The sequence below is a fragment of the Homo sapiens genome, chromosome 13 (assembly GCF_000001405.40).
Source record: "Homo sapiens chromosome 13, GRCh38.p14 Primary Assembly".
In the NCBI taxonomy this organism is placed as follows: Eukaryota; Metazoa; Chordata; class Mammalia; order Primates; family Hominidae; genus Homo; species Homo sapiens.
The window spans coordinates 102,907,449-102,924,284 of NC_000013.11; the positions used below are offsets into that span (position 1 = coordinate 102,907,449).

The window sequence follows — 16,836 nt, forward strand, 5'->3', positions numbered from 1 at the left end:
TTGAAGTTTATGCTTTCACAGTTTTAGCAATCTGTAAGGTAATGGGGATCATATCTGCTGGCATCAAATCAAGTGTTTCTGACTTAACCAGTTGCTTTAGAAGAAACTCTTCGTTCCAGAATGACTCAAAATTCTCATGCAAAAAATGTGTTTAAGTATAGTATGTTATGAGTTAACCAAATATACAGACTATTAGGAACCTAGAATTTAAAGCTACCTTAAAGGTTAGGAGTCCAATCTCTTATTTAGTACAAAAGTATTGGTAGCAGATGGTGAATGGGAATTCTTTCAGGAAAGTGACACTTCTCTTTGACAAAACAGTGTATTCTAATTATGAGAAAGCACTTCCTTATATGGAGCTGAAATCTGCTTACCTCTTACAACCAACAAAAAATAAGCCTTTTTCCATGCAAAACGAACCTTTTCTATGAAATTGCAATGAGAAGAGTATAAGACAGTCTTTTTTTTTTTTTTCAGGCTAAACATCACCAGTTCTTTTTCAATCATTTGTCATTTGAAGTTACTTTCACAGTCTTGATTACACCCTTTGGACATACTCCAATTACTCAATATTGCCTCTTAAATTGTGGTCTCCAAAGCTTGAGGCAATGGTGTAGACGTGATCTGACCAAGATGGGAAGCATGCTTTCTGAACATTCTTAATACCTCAGTAAGGGGATGTAGGCATTTCATAGATATGGTAGGAACCAAGAAGTGTTCCTTCCAGGAATCTGACTTTAGTTGGTTCATAGGAAATATAGTATTGGAACACATTGGTGTACCAATGTGGATCCACCCAGGGTGATTATAATATGTGGGATTTCCCATGGAAATTTTTGCCCTTTGTAAACCCAAAGAGTTATTTGCTTTGCAAGATCAGAGTCCAATGCTTCACTTTTGGTAACTGATGAAATTACTCAAATCTATGCACGGGCTGAGTAACAGGTAAGAGGGAGTGGTCATCTACCAGTAGCTGAGAAGTCGTCGGCACCCACCTGAATTTGGCTCCTGGATGAAGGGTCAAGAAGGTATATGACCTTTATATGTGGCATTAGGCATTTTTTATGTATATGTAGATTCATTTAGGGATTTTGAAAGCCACATTCAATATTTTCTTAAAACCATTATGTTTTCTTCAGAAAGCTCAAGTAAAGTCATAACAATAAATGTGCTTTGGAACTTGCCTTTTAAAAAAGATCTTAGCCTTCAACACAGACTGATCATTTCAAAATAGCACAGAGCCAAAGACAACCGTGTTGACCTTTAGAGTTGGCATATTTGTGCCCACTTTTTATTTGAGTTGAATTTCCTAGGTCTGTTTACGTTTTGCTATTGAAACATACATAAACTATAATACTGGTGTAATAATATTATACTTCTCACATTTTTTAAAAGATTAAGAAAAAATTGGTATGCTTCAGTCTGCCTGGTTAGCAGAAGAATATTACGTTGGTCTTATTAGGGCTCTACTCTTCGAATTGTTCAAGAACTTTAGACGCTTGCTTGGTCTTGAAAAAAAAAATGATGGAGGAGTCTTCATCCAGGGCAGTTGATACTGTTACTGTCATGCAGGCAATGCTCTTTGGCTATGTGTAGGGCACTGATTCTCCCTATGGACAACAGAGATCACCCACTCTGGTTGGGAACCATAGGAGCCCTCATCCTTGTTCACAGGGCCTGTGTTCAGTGCCTAGCCCCTGTAGTTACTGATCATAGCCATATTTCTACTGACAATGTAGTTTCCAAGCAGAGCATAGGCTCCCATATCTCTAGAAAAAGATTTTTATTTTTTAAAAAGATTCTTATTTATTTATTTCTTTATTTGAGATGGAGTCTCACTCTGTCCCCCAGGCTGGAGTGCAACGGTACGATCTTGGCTCACTGCAACTTCTGCCTCCTGGGTTCAAGCAATTCTCCTGCCTGAGCCTCCTGAAAATCTGGGATTACAGGTGCTCACCACCATGCCCAGCTAATTTTTGTATTTTTAGTAGAGATGGGGTTTTGCCATATTGGCCAGGCTGGTTTCAAACTCCTCACTCAGGTGATCTGCCCACCTTGGCCTCCCAAAGTGCTGGGATTACAGGTGTGAGCCACCGCACCTGGCCTAAGATTCTTATTTTTTAACTTTAATTACTTTCAGAGAAATTATTTCTCTTTCTACATCATCTTACCATATTATCTTGTTTTAAACTTAAGTCTTTTGTGTAAATAGATGCATGCAAATGTTAAACTTTTAATTTACTTAATTTTCTCACAGTGCTATAAATATCATCAAATGAAAATGGCCACTTACATGAAAGATCTTTAATAGAAATAACTTCTCTCCTTTGTCTTGGCCAATATCTGCATGCATGGCATTTTATTTTTTATCAGGAGAGAGGTTGTTGCTACAGTGAATGACCCCCATTTTTTTTTGTTTTCATTTCCCTTGATAGCAATTTAAAGATGAATTCTCTGGGTTTTTGTCCCTTATCACTTTGATGCTTTGTTACTGACTTAAAAAGAGAGTTCTGTTGGAATTCTTGTTTTATTCATTGAAGAAATACATAAAGATACTAATAAGCTGATTTGGAATTTTAATAGACCATTATTAGCAATAAAACCAGGCAGCTGTGATTAGATGTCAAGAAATCTGCTGTGTTGGGAGTTAGATCCTGAAAATGTTTTGTACAGGGCTCAGGAGGAGAAAATTGTTTGCCCCTAACAAATGCTGTCCAGGCAGAACTGAGCGGGAAGATGGCCTGGCCTTCTGTTTAGAAAGGCTCTCCACAGGGTGCTCAGTTTCGTGCCTCTCTTCTGTTTTCTTCAAAGTCCCTATAAGAGAGTTCATTATAAAAGCCCTTCTTGAAGGTAAAGGCAAAATACCATTGCTAGGGATAATTTATAAGGGATTTAAATTCGCTCATGCCTCCCATTGCCTTTGGTGTGTTTCAGATAATAAGTAGAAGAGAAAAAAGAACATAGCAGAGTAGATGATGATATCTATTTGATTAGCTGACTTGACAGGTATTACCAAGAAATATAGTAAGAAAAATTAAACGCTTCACTGTGTTTATGATACATGTGAAACAATTGAGCAATTCAGTTTATTTGAGTTACAAACTCAAGTCAACAAAAGCAAAATAAAGATTCTTTTGTAAGTGTGTTTATTCTGACATATCAATTCCTCAGCAGAGGAATATTTGGAAAACAGGACAAGAATATATAGCTTTTACTTGGGAACAGCATAGATAATAAAATGACTATTAAATGTTTCCTTTTTAAAATGCTTCCTAGGCCAGCACGGTTGCTCACGTCTGTAATCCCAGCAATCTAGGAGGACAACATGGGAGGATCACCTGAGCCGAGGAGCTTCAGGACCAGCCTGGGCAACACAGGGAGACCCTGTCTTCACAAAAAATTTTAAAATATTAGCTGCATGTGGTGGTGCATGCCTGTAGTCCCAACTATTGGGAGGCTGAGGCGGGAGGATGGCTTGAGCCCAGGAGGTCGAGGCAACAGTGAGCTATGATCATGCCACTGCATAGCAGCCTGGGTGACAGAATAGGACCCTGTCTCAAAAAAAAAAAAAAAAGAAAAAAACCAGGAATGTTTAAAAGGCTTCTTGACTTTCCTGTGTTTACATTTGTAACATAAACATTGTTAATACTCATTTTATCCTTAATTTCCTGAGATTTCTGAGAGAAAATACAAAGTAAGGACATAGAATAAAACCTTTGCCAGATCTAGTTAGGAAGCAGTAAACATTTTACTGTCTAGTTTTGATACAGATAAAAAGCCAAATGAAACAGCTTATTGTGCAAAACCGTATTTAAGCTGCTTATAACTTTTAAAAAATACTTTCTCCTTTTGGAGTTGAGTAAAACTCCTGCACAGTAGGGTACTTGTTCACTTTGGTGTAAAATTGAAAAATTTACCAGGTTTTGAGTATTTAAAATGCCTGAGGGAAAGCTTGGGAAGATGTGGTTTTCAGGTGCATTTTGCAGTGGGGAAGTGACTACTAGCATAGCTATGTCCATCCATCTGTCCATGCGGTTGAAAGGTGTGCTCCAGGTGCCAAAGGCAAAATGAATAATGTACAGGCCTGGATCCCCGAGGCCTGCGGCAGAGGAGGCAAATATCTGCAAGGCCGAGGCGGAGGGAGGGGCCGCTGCTAGCTCAGACCTGCCATCTCACATTCCTGTGAAATGTGCTTCACCTTTCCATCATTGTTCTTTGTCTCTGGACCTTGAGTAGTTGCACAGCTTTTTGAGTCAAACTTTAATAAGAAAACCAAATGCACACTCTTGTTCTTAGGTGAGATAAAATCAAGATTGCATTTAAAACCTGGAAGTTAGGAGTGAATGAATGTGGAGCTTTATCACTGAAATGATTTTTCATCCTTAATTCCAAGGTAGCCTTTGCTTTCTCGTTCACCAAAGGCACCGAAAACACAAACTAGACCTTTGAGAAATGATAATATTTTAAGGTCATAGTTTCCTTGATCTCTGTGAGGCTCCTCTGTATTAAAGTATTTTTTGCTATTTTCTGACACAGATCGGAAACATGCCATTTGTTCCTGCCTTTAAGATACAATAGTTCAACATAGTGATGACAATTTTGAGACTATTTTGATGGCCAAGTGTCTCTTTTCTGGAGTTAAAAGTAGAGGTTCTAGTCTTTCAAGAAGCATTTCAACCACTCAGATGTCCTGGCTGGAAACACCTCCATTATTATCAAGTCCATGTTTCCTTTTAGCTTTTGAATTATTTCATCATCAAGGGTTATCAATTTTACCTCCTAAACTTTGCCCTTACAATAGCTATCAAACAGTCTCCTGACTTTATTTTTCTTCTGCTCCAACCCATTTCTCACAGTGTTATTAAAAAAATTATATATATACATATATTTAATTGACAAAGTATATGTTTATCATGTATAGCATGTTTTGAAATATGTATACTTGTGGAACAGCTAAATCAAGATAATTAACATATGCATTCCCGCACATACTTATCAAATTATTGTGATGAGAACACTTAAAATCTACTCTCTCAGCAATTTTCAAGGATACAATACACTATTAGCTACAGTCACCATGTTGTACAATAGATCTCTTGAACTTATTCCTCCTAACTGAAATTTTTCATCCCTTGACCAACAACTTCCATACACTGTCTTTTTAACTTTTTTTAAAGTCTTTTAGTATCATTTGGAAACATTCATTTAGGCAAAGCTTCCAGAAGCACACTCAAGGAATGAATGGGGAACGAAAGGGACACTGCTTTGTGGACCAGGTTAATTACATTGTCTTCCTAGACAATCTGAGCTTGCCACTGTCCTGGTTAAAACTTGTTTGTGGTGCCCTGTTGCCTTAGGTTAGAGTCCAAACCTGTATTCCAGGTAGAACGCAGGCCCTTGGCCAAACGATCACAGGCCAAGCTCTCTTAGTCTCCATCCTTTTTCTTTCCTTCTCCTTCCACCCTCTCTACCTCCTTTCTTCTCCACCCCATCCCATTTCCCTATCAACATGATGCTTAGTGACTTCCTCTCCCTCAAGCCCATTCTTCATCAGAGCCATTCTCTGCTTTGCCATCACTCTCTGAGCCTGGAATACCCATCTCTTTCCCATTTCGGTTCCCTGCTTATCTACAAAGACCCAGCTCAAATGTTCCTCCTCTATAAATTCCCAGAGCAGGCAGCCTCCTGCTCTGTACTCTCCATGATGTAGTCTAGGATGGCTATTTCACATCTCTTTGTCTTTCTTTATGTGTTCTGATCTCTGCCTTTTCAACTAAACTAAACTTTATGAGGCAGAGTCTATGTTTTTCATTTTGTGTACAATTGCCTTGCATTGGGCCTGGCATGTCACAGGTGTCAATAAATGTTTGTCAATTGAATAAATGAAAGTGTGTCACTTTTCTGGCTAATGTCATATATTTTTCATTTTGCTCTAGGTCTCCAGAAAAGAGCATCCATTGAGCTGAGTGGAATGAACTCAGTTAGTTGCTATAAAGTCTATACCTCGTCTAGCCTTTCAGTGATGATTCATTTATCCATTCTTTCATGTAATGCGCAGTTGTTGAGCATTTTCTATCAGGTGTTTTACCAGCCATTGAGAATGAAAAGATATCTAGGCCAGATATCACATCAGCTTGCTTGGAGCCCTTCTAGGAAGGGAAAGGAGCTACAAAAACTAGACTTGTCTCCTTACACGATCTGTGACAACTGTGAGCCTTCTGGCAGTTTGTTTCTAGCTCTTCTTTCAGTTTCAGCAAAAACTCGAGTGAGCTGAGGGCAGGACAAGTTGACGTATCGATCTAGTTATAAATGCTTCTAAAAGGTCCCTCCTGGCTTTGGTAATGTCTGGGCTCAGACACCTCTGCAAAGCTGAATTATTTCTAGGTCAACCATTTTGAGGTTCCTTCCTCCCAGATGAATGGTTAAAAACTCAGATAAGAAGTATTTTTTTAAGTAATGCAAGGTGGAAAGTGAATGGCTTTTGTTTAGTTTCAAACCGATTCCTCATCTTAGGAAGACAGAAGAGCGCTGATGATATCCTGGTGCTGTCGTTTATTTGTGGTGAATTTGCTAATTAAACGCCCACTCCCTTTTCTATTCCTCTCTGCTCAGCCTTCAGAAGAGTGCTGGCATCTGACTTAAGCAAAAGGGAGGAGCGAGTTTTCTAAGGTGGCAGAATGCCAACATCCCTTTGCCTTCTGTTGTCTTGTGAGTGATGCCAAGTCATCTGGTGGCTACTTGTAGTAGAGGAAAGGATTATTAATTGTTCTCTGATAATTCGCTCAAGGATTCTTTAACCTCTTGACTTAAAGTAGCTATGGCAGAGATATTAGAATGACAAACCCAAGGGCACGTAGTAGAATTAATATTCTGCAAAGACCAAAGTTTTGCACAGGTCCCATTTTACTTGTTTTCACGTCACTCCCGTATCTCTGGTGAAGTGGATAGGATGAATTGATAGAGTAGCAAAGCAAAGACAAATGACCACATCTCTTCCCAGCCACGGGGTGACCCGGCTTGCACAGTAATGAGTATAAACAGCAGGCACTCTGAGGCTAAGGAGAGAAAAATGCTGACAGAGCACTTGCTTTGATTGGATTTATAATATTATAGGGAGAAATGGAAAGCGAGAGGGAGAGATAGGAAGGGTGAGGCAATACGGAGTGAGGACGTGGAGACCTATTTATGGCTGTTTCGTGGTCATAACTCAGCTGCTTTGTTTTGCCCACTCAGTGAACTGACCTTCTTCAATCCTTTTGTTTGACAGCCTCAGGGAATAAATTCCTCCTTAATCCACCTCCTAGGCCCAGCTGAGGTAGTGGGAACAGAGCAGCTTCGCACAGAACCAATAAGTTCACTTCCCAGAGGCGAAAGGGTAATTTGTCCTGCCTGTTCACTCCATCACTGCCCTTGCTGTTCTGCGGGTGCACAGGGTACCAATTAGTGCTAATTGCTGCCGATGGTGGTGAAAGATTCTGTGACAAGTCTCTGCTGAGAACAGGGCTGACCCCTAACTCATTTCATGTAGAGCATGCCCATGAGACCAGGTACTTTGGGATAGTACAACAGTGTGGATGGGCGGGAAAGAAAGATCCTTGGCAAGAGCACAGGCCTGTCTTGCTACAGTCCACTAACAGCTACTGAAAACCACAGTTAATTTTTCCAGAAAGAGGAATTTTGCCATTGCTCCTCCAGATCTTACTTTGATGTGGAAGGATCCAAAAGTATCCCCAAAGTAAGAGTCAATCTAATTATATCTGGAGTACAAATTCACTGCTTCACTTCTGCCTAGCAAAGCAGCCAGAGATCTTTATGCCCAGTGAAATAAATTTTTAACAGACTTGCTATAATGTGTCAAAGTTTCCTGAATAAAGTTGAGCGAGTAAGCATGGCTTTTAAGATCTTTCAACGTGATGGACAAGAAAATATCCACGTAGAGAGAAGTAGGGCTGCTTATTGCAATTAGCCACATTATTGCATCTGGAAAATCCTCTCCAAGGAGGATCAGAGGTCCTGGCATCACACATTTAAATTAATATAAAAGAGGTGCTTTGCATTAGCCAAGGAAAAGTTGAGAGTTTTCTGATTTGGCCACTGTACTCTTGAAAAAGGTAGTTCATTTCATATCTAAAGTAGCCAGAGATAGCTTCAACAATTGCCAGCTACCAGTTATAAATAGCTTTCCTCTCTGAAACAAAGCCTCATCTTTCAAATTGCTTCTTTCTTAAGGAAAAAGAAAAACCCTGAGATTCTTTCAGCACTCGCCAGCTGTTCCAGATGTTATGATTCCACATCTAGGGCCACGTTCTGAACTAAAAATATATACATGAGCTTGACTTCCAACTTCTTCACTAAAGTAACATCATAAATTATCTTATTTGTCCCTTTGTTATGTTCCAGAAGTGTTGGTAAGTAGTTTTTAAGGGGAGAGAGAATTTGATCCTCATTTTTTCCGTGAAACCTCTTATGACAAATAGTAAATTTCACTCATAAGATTGTAACCTAGTCCATTAGAGTGTAGTCCAGACTTCTTTTTACTTATAATGAAAAGTAAAAAAATATCCTATTGTTATCATAATCATAAAAACAAGAGAAAATAAATAAATTGGATAACAGAAACTTTTGAAAGTGGGACTTAAAATAATTTGATTAGAGACAGATCTTGGTGGTAGTCTGAAAAGACTTGGATGTTTCCAGAGCCCGTGGAATCAAACAGTTCCTACTACGGCCACCAGATGGCCCTATGAGACCGGAGCTTTTCGTGTAGATGCTGGCGGTGGTAGTGGTAGTGGTGGCAGTAACTATGGTTTCAGGATGGGTTGGGACTCAGGCAGAAAGCAGCAACCGCCCAGCCTTCACGTTGGCTGCATCTCCTCCAACAGTTCTCCATCTCAAACATTCACCAGTTAGTGTGACATTTTAAAAATGGAACTTGGATGATCACATTTTCTTGCTCAAAACTCTCGAATGGTTTCTCAGTATGTGTAGAATAAATTCCAGACTCCTTACTCTGGTTTACAAGGCCCTACATGATCTGGTACATAGCTACTGTTCTGACCTTATTGCGGCCCACTCTTCCTCTAATCTTTTTTTAAGACGGACTCTCGCTCTGTCGCCAAGCTGGAGTGCAGTGGCGCGATCTCGGCTCACTGCAACCTCCACCTCCTGGGCTCAAGCGATTCTCCTGCTTCAGCCTCCTGAGTCGCTAGGACTACAGGCATGTGCCTCCACACCCGACTAATTTGTGTATTTTTGGTGGAGACAGGGTTTCACCATGATGACCAGGCTGGTCTGGAATTCCTGACCTCAGGTGATCCGCCTGACTCAGACTCCTAAGGTGCTGGGATGACAGGCGTGAGCCACCGCGCCCGGCCGTCCCCCGTTAATCTTACTCCAGCCACACAGCCTTTTCGTATTTCTATTTATTTATTTACTTTAAGTTCTGGGATACATGTGCAGAACCTTTTTGTATTTCTTGAAGGGGCAAAGCTCCTTCAGAGCTTGTGCATTAATTGTCTCATTTGCCTCAGATGCTCTTATTCATATCACCAAATGGCTCAGATCTTATCCTTCAGCCCTCAACTCAACATCCATGTAGAGTAAAGCCATCCAATCCAAAGCATTAACTCAGCTGCTTCCCAATCTATCACTTTAGTTTTCTGACTAAGCCTTAATCGTGATTTCTTTCTTCCTTCCCTTACTTTCTTTCCCCTTCTTTTCTCTTTTCCTTTTTTCCTTTCCTCCCTCCCTCCCTTCCTTTCTCTTCCTCTTTCTTTCTTTCGCTTTCCTCCCTCCGTCCCTCCCTCTCTCCCTCCTTTCTTCCCTCCTTCCCTTCCCTTCCTTCCTTCCCTCCTTTCCTTCCTTCCTTCCTTCCTTCCTTCCTTCCTTCCTTCATCTTCCTATTTACTTATCTAATGTATGATCTATGTATTATCAGTTTATCTCCACTGGAATGTAAACAGCATGAGAGCAGGATTTTTTTTTTTTTAAAGTTCATTGTTATTTATCTCATCATTAGGACCATGGCTGTTCTTGTATAGAGAATGAATAAATGGATGTTTGAGATATTTGTAAGTTAGGCATTTATAGTACAAGTATGGTACATCCACAGATTACTAGCATTTGGATAATTTGTAATGGTAAAATTTATCATAAATTAGTTAAGTTTTTTCATTTACCAAACAGTTACTGAACAGTAACTAAGTGCCAGGCATTGTGATGGGCACTAGAGATAATCCAGTGCTGAATGCTAGCAAGAAAAATTATGTTCTGAGAGCTCAGGCTCTATACCAAGGGCTTTTACATATTATCTCATTTAGTACTTACAACAGTATTCTGAGACAAGTTCTTTAGTCTCTAATTTCATTTTACAGAGTAAGAAACAAATTTAGTCAAGATAAGTAATATACCCAAGATAACATGACTGTTGCATTGTGGAACCGGGACTCAACCTGGTATGACGTAGTCCATCCTGAAGGAATCAACAAAGACAAACAATGGGACTAGACTCCAAGCATGTCTGGCAATAGAAGTATCAGGCAGAGATAACAGCATGACTAAAGACATAAAACAAGTTACCAAAATGTGAACAAGACTATCAGAATATTCCAGATGTATCTAACAAAGAACCATATAGAATTTCTAGAAAGAAAAAAATAGTAATTGAAATACAAATCTCAGTGGATAAGATAAAGTCTAGCTAGATTTAAAGAGAGTAGTAAACAGATGAAGAGAGAATTTGTGAACTAGATGACTGATCTTAGGAAATTATCAAGATTACAGCACAGAAAGATTAAGTGATGGAAATATATTAAAGAGAAGTTTAGAGATGTAGACAACAGAATTGGAAGGCCCAATATATTTCTAGTAGAAATTCTAGGTGAAAGAAGAGAAAGAAGGTAAAGGCCAATAGTTAAAGAGTTGATGGCTAAAACTTTCAGAAAATTGATTAAAGCCATAAATTGACTAAATTTCTTTCTTTTTTTAAAAAAATTCTATGTTAGGTTCAGGGGTACATGCACAGGTTTGTTATATAGGCAGATTGCATATTGTGAGGGTTTGGTGTACAAATATTTCATCACCCGTGTAATAAGCATAGCACCTAATAGGTAGTTTTTCAATCCTCACCCTCCTCCCACCCTTTACCCTCAAGTAAGCCCTGGTGTCTGCTGTTCCCTGCTTTATATCTCTATGTACTCAATGTTTAGCTGCCACTTACAACAAATATGCAGTATTTTGTTTTCTGTTCCTGTGATAGTTTGCTTAGAATAATGACCTCTAGCTCCATTCATGTTACTGCAAAGGACATGATCTCATTCTTTTTTATGGCTACATAGTATTCCATACTGTATATGCACCACATTTTCTGTATCTAGTCTACCATCGATGGACATTTGGGATGATTCCATACATTTGCTATTGTGATTAGTGCTGCAATGAATTTGCATGCATGTGTCTTTATGGTAGAATGATTTATATTCCTTTGGGAATATACTTAATAATGGGATTGCTGGGTCAAGTGGTAATTCTGCTTTGAGTTCTTTGATAAATCATCAAACTGCTTTCCACAGTGGCTGAACTAATTTACACTCCCACCAGCAGTATATGAGCATTCCCTTTTCACCACAACCCCACCAGCATCTGTTATCTTTTGACTTTTTAGTAATAGCCATTATGACCGGTGTGACATGGTATCTCATTGTGGTTTTGGTGTGCATTTCTCTAATAATTAGTGACGCTGAGTATTTTTTCATATGCTTGCTGACTGTGTATGTCTTCTTTTCAGAAGTATCTGTTCATGTCCTTTGCCCACTTTTTAATGGGGTTGCTTTTTTCTTGTAATTTTGTTTAAGTTTTTTGTAGATGCTGGATATCAGGCCTTTGTCAGATGGGTAGATTGCAAAAATTTCTCCCATTCTGTAGGTTGTCTGTGTACTATCTTGATAGTTTCTTTTTGCTGTGTAGAAGCTCTTTAGTATAATTAAGTCCCAGTTTCAGTTTTTGTGTTTGTTTTGCAATTGCTTTTGGAGGCTTCATCATGAAATCTTTGCCAGAGCTTATGTCCGGAATAGTATTTCCTAGGTTATCTTCTAGAGTTTTTATAGTTTTAAATTTTGCATTTAAGTCTTTAATCCATCTTGAGTTGATTTTTGTATATGGTGTGAGGAAGGGGTCTAGTTTCAATCTTTTGCATATAGCTAACCATTTATTCCAGCACCATTTATTGAATAGAGAGTCCTTTCTCCATTGCTTGTTTTTGTCACCTTTGTCAAAGATCAGATGGTTGTAGGTGTGCAGCATTATTTCTGGGCTTTCTATTCTGCTCCATTGGTCTATGTGTTTGTTTTTGTACAAGTATCATGCTATTTTGATTGTGTAGCCTTGAAGTATAGTTTGAAGTTGGGGAATGTGATACCTCCAGCTTTGTTCTTTTTGCTTAGGATTACTCTGGCTATTTGAGCTCTTTTTTGGTTCCATAGGAATTTTAAGATAGTTTTCTTCTACTTCTGTGAAGAATGCCATTGGTAGTTTGATAGGAATAGCATTGAATCTGTAAATTGCTTTGGGCCATATGGCCATTTTAACAATATTGATTATTCCTATCCATGAGCATGGAATGTTTTTCCATTGTTTGTGTCATCTCTGATTTCTTTGAGCAGGGTTTGGTAATTCTCATTGTAAAGATCCTTTCACTTCCCTGATTAGTTATATTCCTAGGTATTTTTTTATGGCTATTGTGAATGGGATTGTGTTCTTGATACAGCTCTCAGCTTGAATGTTATTGGTGTATAGGAATCCTACTGATATTTTTACATTGATTTTGTATCCTGAGACTTTGTTGAAGTTGTTTATCAAGTCAAGGAGCTTTTGGATAGAGACTATAGGGTTTTCTAGGTGTAGAATCATATTGCATAAATTGACTAAATTTCATAAATCAGATTAAAAAATGCAACGTGTCCTGAGCTGAATAAATAAATCCACACCTAAACACATCTTGATGGAACTTCAGAACACCACAGGCAAACAGATCTTATAAGCAACCAGAGAAAAAGACATAGCTCTCCTACAAAAGGATAACCATTAAACCAAAAGAAGCCTCATCAGCCAAAATAGATGTTAGAATATAATAGAATAATATTTTCAAAGTGCTGAGGGAAAATCATGGTTAATAAATATTCTATACTTAAACTGTATTTCAAGAGGCAAAATAAAAAAAGACACTTAAAGAAGACTGAGTTAGTGTGCCACCAACAAAGTTCTTGATTCAAAACGTCCTGTGTAAGAGGTGCTTCAGGAAGAAGGAAACTGAACTCAGAAGGAAGGGGTGAGCTGTGAGAATGAAGGTGAATGTGCGGCTCCATGTATATAAGCATCATCCACTTAAAACCACGGAGGCGGTGACTGTGAAGGGTGGCAAAGTCAAGATGGAACTCGATCGCTGCACAACATAATATGTCACATGGGAAGACGATGTCTGTACTTAAATCACTCTAAAGTCATCTAAGGTTAGAGACATTGACAATCTTCAGACTTTAAGTATGTTTTTGACTATGCTGAGGTAATCAAGAAAATCTGAATTTCAGGGTGACTTTGTTTAAAGGGATGACTTAGCAATCCAGGCTTCTTCCACTTAGTGAGGCCACTGTCTTTGATGCACCCACAGCTGCTGTGCATGCTGCTAACAGCGGAGAGAGTGGAAGATTGCAGAGGACACGTGCAGCTAGGCTTGGAAGTGCAGACATCAGGTGTGGCCTCATCCTTTGCCAGGTGCCATTCCCATCATCCCAAACTCATTGCCCCACTTTTGTGTAACTAGAAATAGGGACAGCCTGCCAAAATACTAAAACACTAAACAGTAAAAGAATAGAGGTAGGATCTGTAGCTTGCAAATAAGTAGAGGAAAGAAAAAGAATAAATAAAACTTGGTGAAATTGGTGAAATCAATAGAAACCAAAAAGGAGGAAAAAAGCATAGAAAAAAATGACGAGAAAGTGCAAAATAAAATAGCAGAATAAGCACAATAAATAACAATTACATTAAACTTACCACTTATTATGCAGAGATTATCATAATAGATTAGAAATTCTTTACACTCAAAGGCAAAACTAAAACACAAAGCCAGCTGGATGTAATTTGCAAGGAGCATATCTAAAAAAGATTGAAAAGTAAAGGGAAGAAAAAGATATACCAGCTAAATACTAACCAAAGAAAGCTAGTCTAACCATATTCATTGCAACAGATCCTTAAGGCAAAAAGCACTGTTAAGGCTGATGAGGGTTACTACATTTGGATAAAAGGAATAATTCAGGAGGAAAATATAAGAATTAAGAAGTCTGAACTTTTAGTCACCTAATAATGCAGTTTGTATTTAAACAGCCAAAATTGTCATCATCACAAGGTAAAACTGACAAATCCCTGTTGTAGTGAGAGATTTTTAGCACATCTGTCAGTGATCAGTAAATGATGCAAAATCAAAATTGGTCAGGCTGTAGCAGATCTGAGCAACACAATTACTTTACCTGTACAGAACCTGCTCCCAACAGAAAGAATACACATTTAGGAGGGTTCTGCCGTAATTTTTTCAAGAGATGAAGTGAGCCTCGACCAAAACAACTGCAATGAGTTAAAAGCAAAGAAATGGAAAAGTAACAGGATTTGCTATTTACTAAATATGGGAGTTAAGGAGGGAAAAGGTAGAATGGAAAATTATTAAGGCCAGCCGGCTGGATCGTGATGCTGTAAATGGTGAGAACAAAAAGGATTGAGGAGGAAGTTTGGGCAGAGGGGAGGATGATGAGTCCGGGGGTGACCTTTTGAGTTTAAAGTGCATTTTATGGAGAAAGCTGAATATCAGCTCCCCGGGCTGTTCCATTTGAATAGTCTTCTCTGGCTTTCCATATACACGTGTTCAAAAATAATATTGCTGATTCATCCGTATTTAATAGATAACTCTTAGTGGAAATGCTACTTGATCAATCAGGTAATACTTAGGGGGCTTATGTTGGAACAGCTAATTTTATTACGCACTACTTATTATTAATTGATTAGGGCTCTTAAGTAGGTAAGAGCTTTTCCTTTCAAGTGAGTTATAGAAGTAACTATTGATTCCTTAAAGCTGATCTATAACATGAATCAGATAATAATAATAGTAATAAGCTATCATTTGTAAGTACGTACAAGCTCTTCCACATATGCTATTATTATTTTCACAGTGATGCCAGGAGGTAGATAGAATAGGATACATATTATTATACCCATTTTGCAGATGAGGAAATTGAAGATAAAATCACACAAGTGTATTCTCTGACCTTCAAATCCTGTTGGTTTTATAATTTAGACTTTCCAAGATGGTTGCAGGCTGAAAAGGTTGAAATGAAAAAAATAGCCACTTCTGCTTTTCTTTGGTGCTTAATTCAGGATGCTTTGCTCCCCATCTTATCTCTTGCCCTGGGCTTGCTGTTATGAGGTCTTTATTTCTCAGGAGGCTTTTTTTTTTTTTTTTTTTTTGAGAAAGAATCATGCTCTGTCTGTCACCCAGGCTCAGGTGCAGTGGCATGATCTCTGTTTACTGCAACTTCTGCCTCCTGAGTTCAAGCGATTCTCCTGCCTTAGCTTCCCAAGTAGCTGGGATCACAGGTATGTGCCACCATGTCTGGCTGATTTTTGTATTTTTAGTAGAGACGAGGTTTTGCCATGTTGGCCAGGCTGGTCTCGAACTCCTGACATCAAGTGATCTGCCCACCTTTAGCCTCCCAGAGGGCTGGGATTACAGGCATGAGCCATCGTGCCTGGCCTCTCCTGAGATGTTTTGATCCTGGAGCTTGTGGATAGGTTTACACGTGTGCAGATATTTTTGCATATGTTTTTATTCACTCCTTTTTTATGCCTTTTTTTTTTTTAAACTCAAACCTCCTTTCCTCCTTCCAGTGCTCCTTCCCATACCGTAATGGGTGGAAAGATAAAAGCTACAGTTTCTGGAGGATTCTATTCTCTGCACTGAACCTTGACCAAGAGTGCCTATGTGATATTTTCTAAAGAGAAACTCAACAACTTTCATTGATTCTCAGAAGTCTCCAGAACCACCGTGGAGAGAGAAGGGAATAGTAACAGGAAGACATGCTTTAAGCAATCATTAGATTTCTCTTTTGCATTTCACTCTCCTTTGCATTTCTCCATTTTTCTCTCTAGGGACTGTAAGTCCAGTTAGAGTTATATATGACTTGATAACGTAGCAGAAGCGGGGGGAGGTTTCCAAAACTCTATCCTTTTTATTTGGGAACAAACAATATCTAGGTACTAAGTTTCTCTATGGTTAAGCTAAAGGAAAATGCCCCTAATACCCTATACTATTTTTGATATCTCTGGAATGAAATCTATATTATACAAATGCAGCTTCCAAAGGACAGAAGTAATTACACTAGTCCTTACGTTTGTTCATTTCTGTATACTTCGGAAAAGTCATTTGCCTTCATTGGAATTAACACAGACGGGTGGCTGAGAAGACTTGGATGTGGCTTTCAGCCTCTTTATGCCTCCAGGTCTTAATTCTTCCTCTTCTTTCATTTGAAATTTTCTCTCCTCATCTTCCGCTTGCCAAACTCATTCTCATTCTCAAGAACGAGCTAACATCCCTCCTTTGGGAAGGTAGCTCTTAACTCACCCCAGTCTGATGTAATCACTTTCTAGTCTTCCTCTCTAGACTGTGTGCTCCTTGAGCACAAAAGAACTGGGTCTTTTCATCTTCAAAAAAAACCCTTCTCTAGCACTGAGCATAGTGTCTCACATAAAAGGAAATTTCTATATATTTTATTTTTTCGTGTTTGGTGTGAGTAAATA

General features: G+C 38.7%; 1 annotated feature.

Annotated features, from left to right (window-relative positions):
* Positions 8,901-9,010: an enhancer, noted in NCBI's record as "active region_7973". NCBI's record gives its function as "activates an Ori minimal core promoter by ATAC-STARR-seq in GM12878 lymphoblastoid cells {active_cell/tissue: GM12878}" and the evidence as "EXISTENCE:reporter gene assay evidence [ECO:0000049][PMID:35858748]".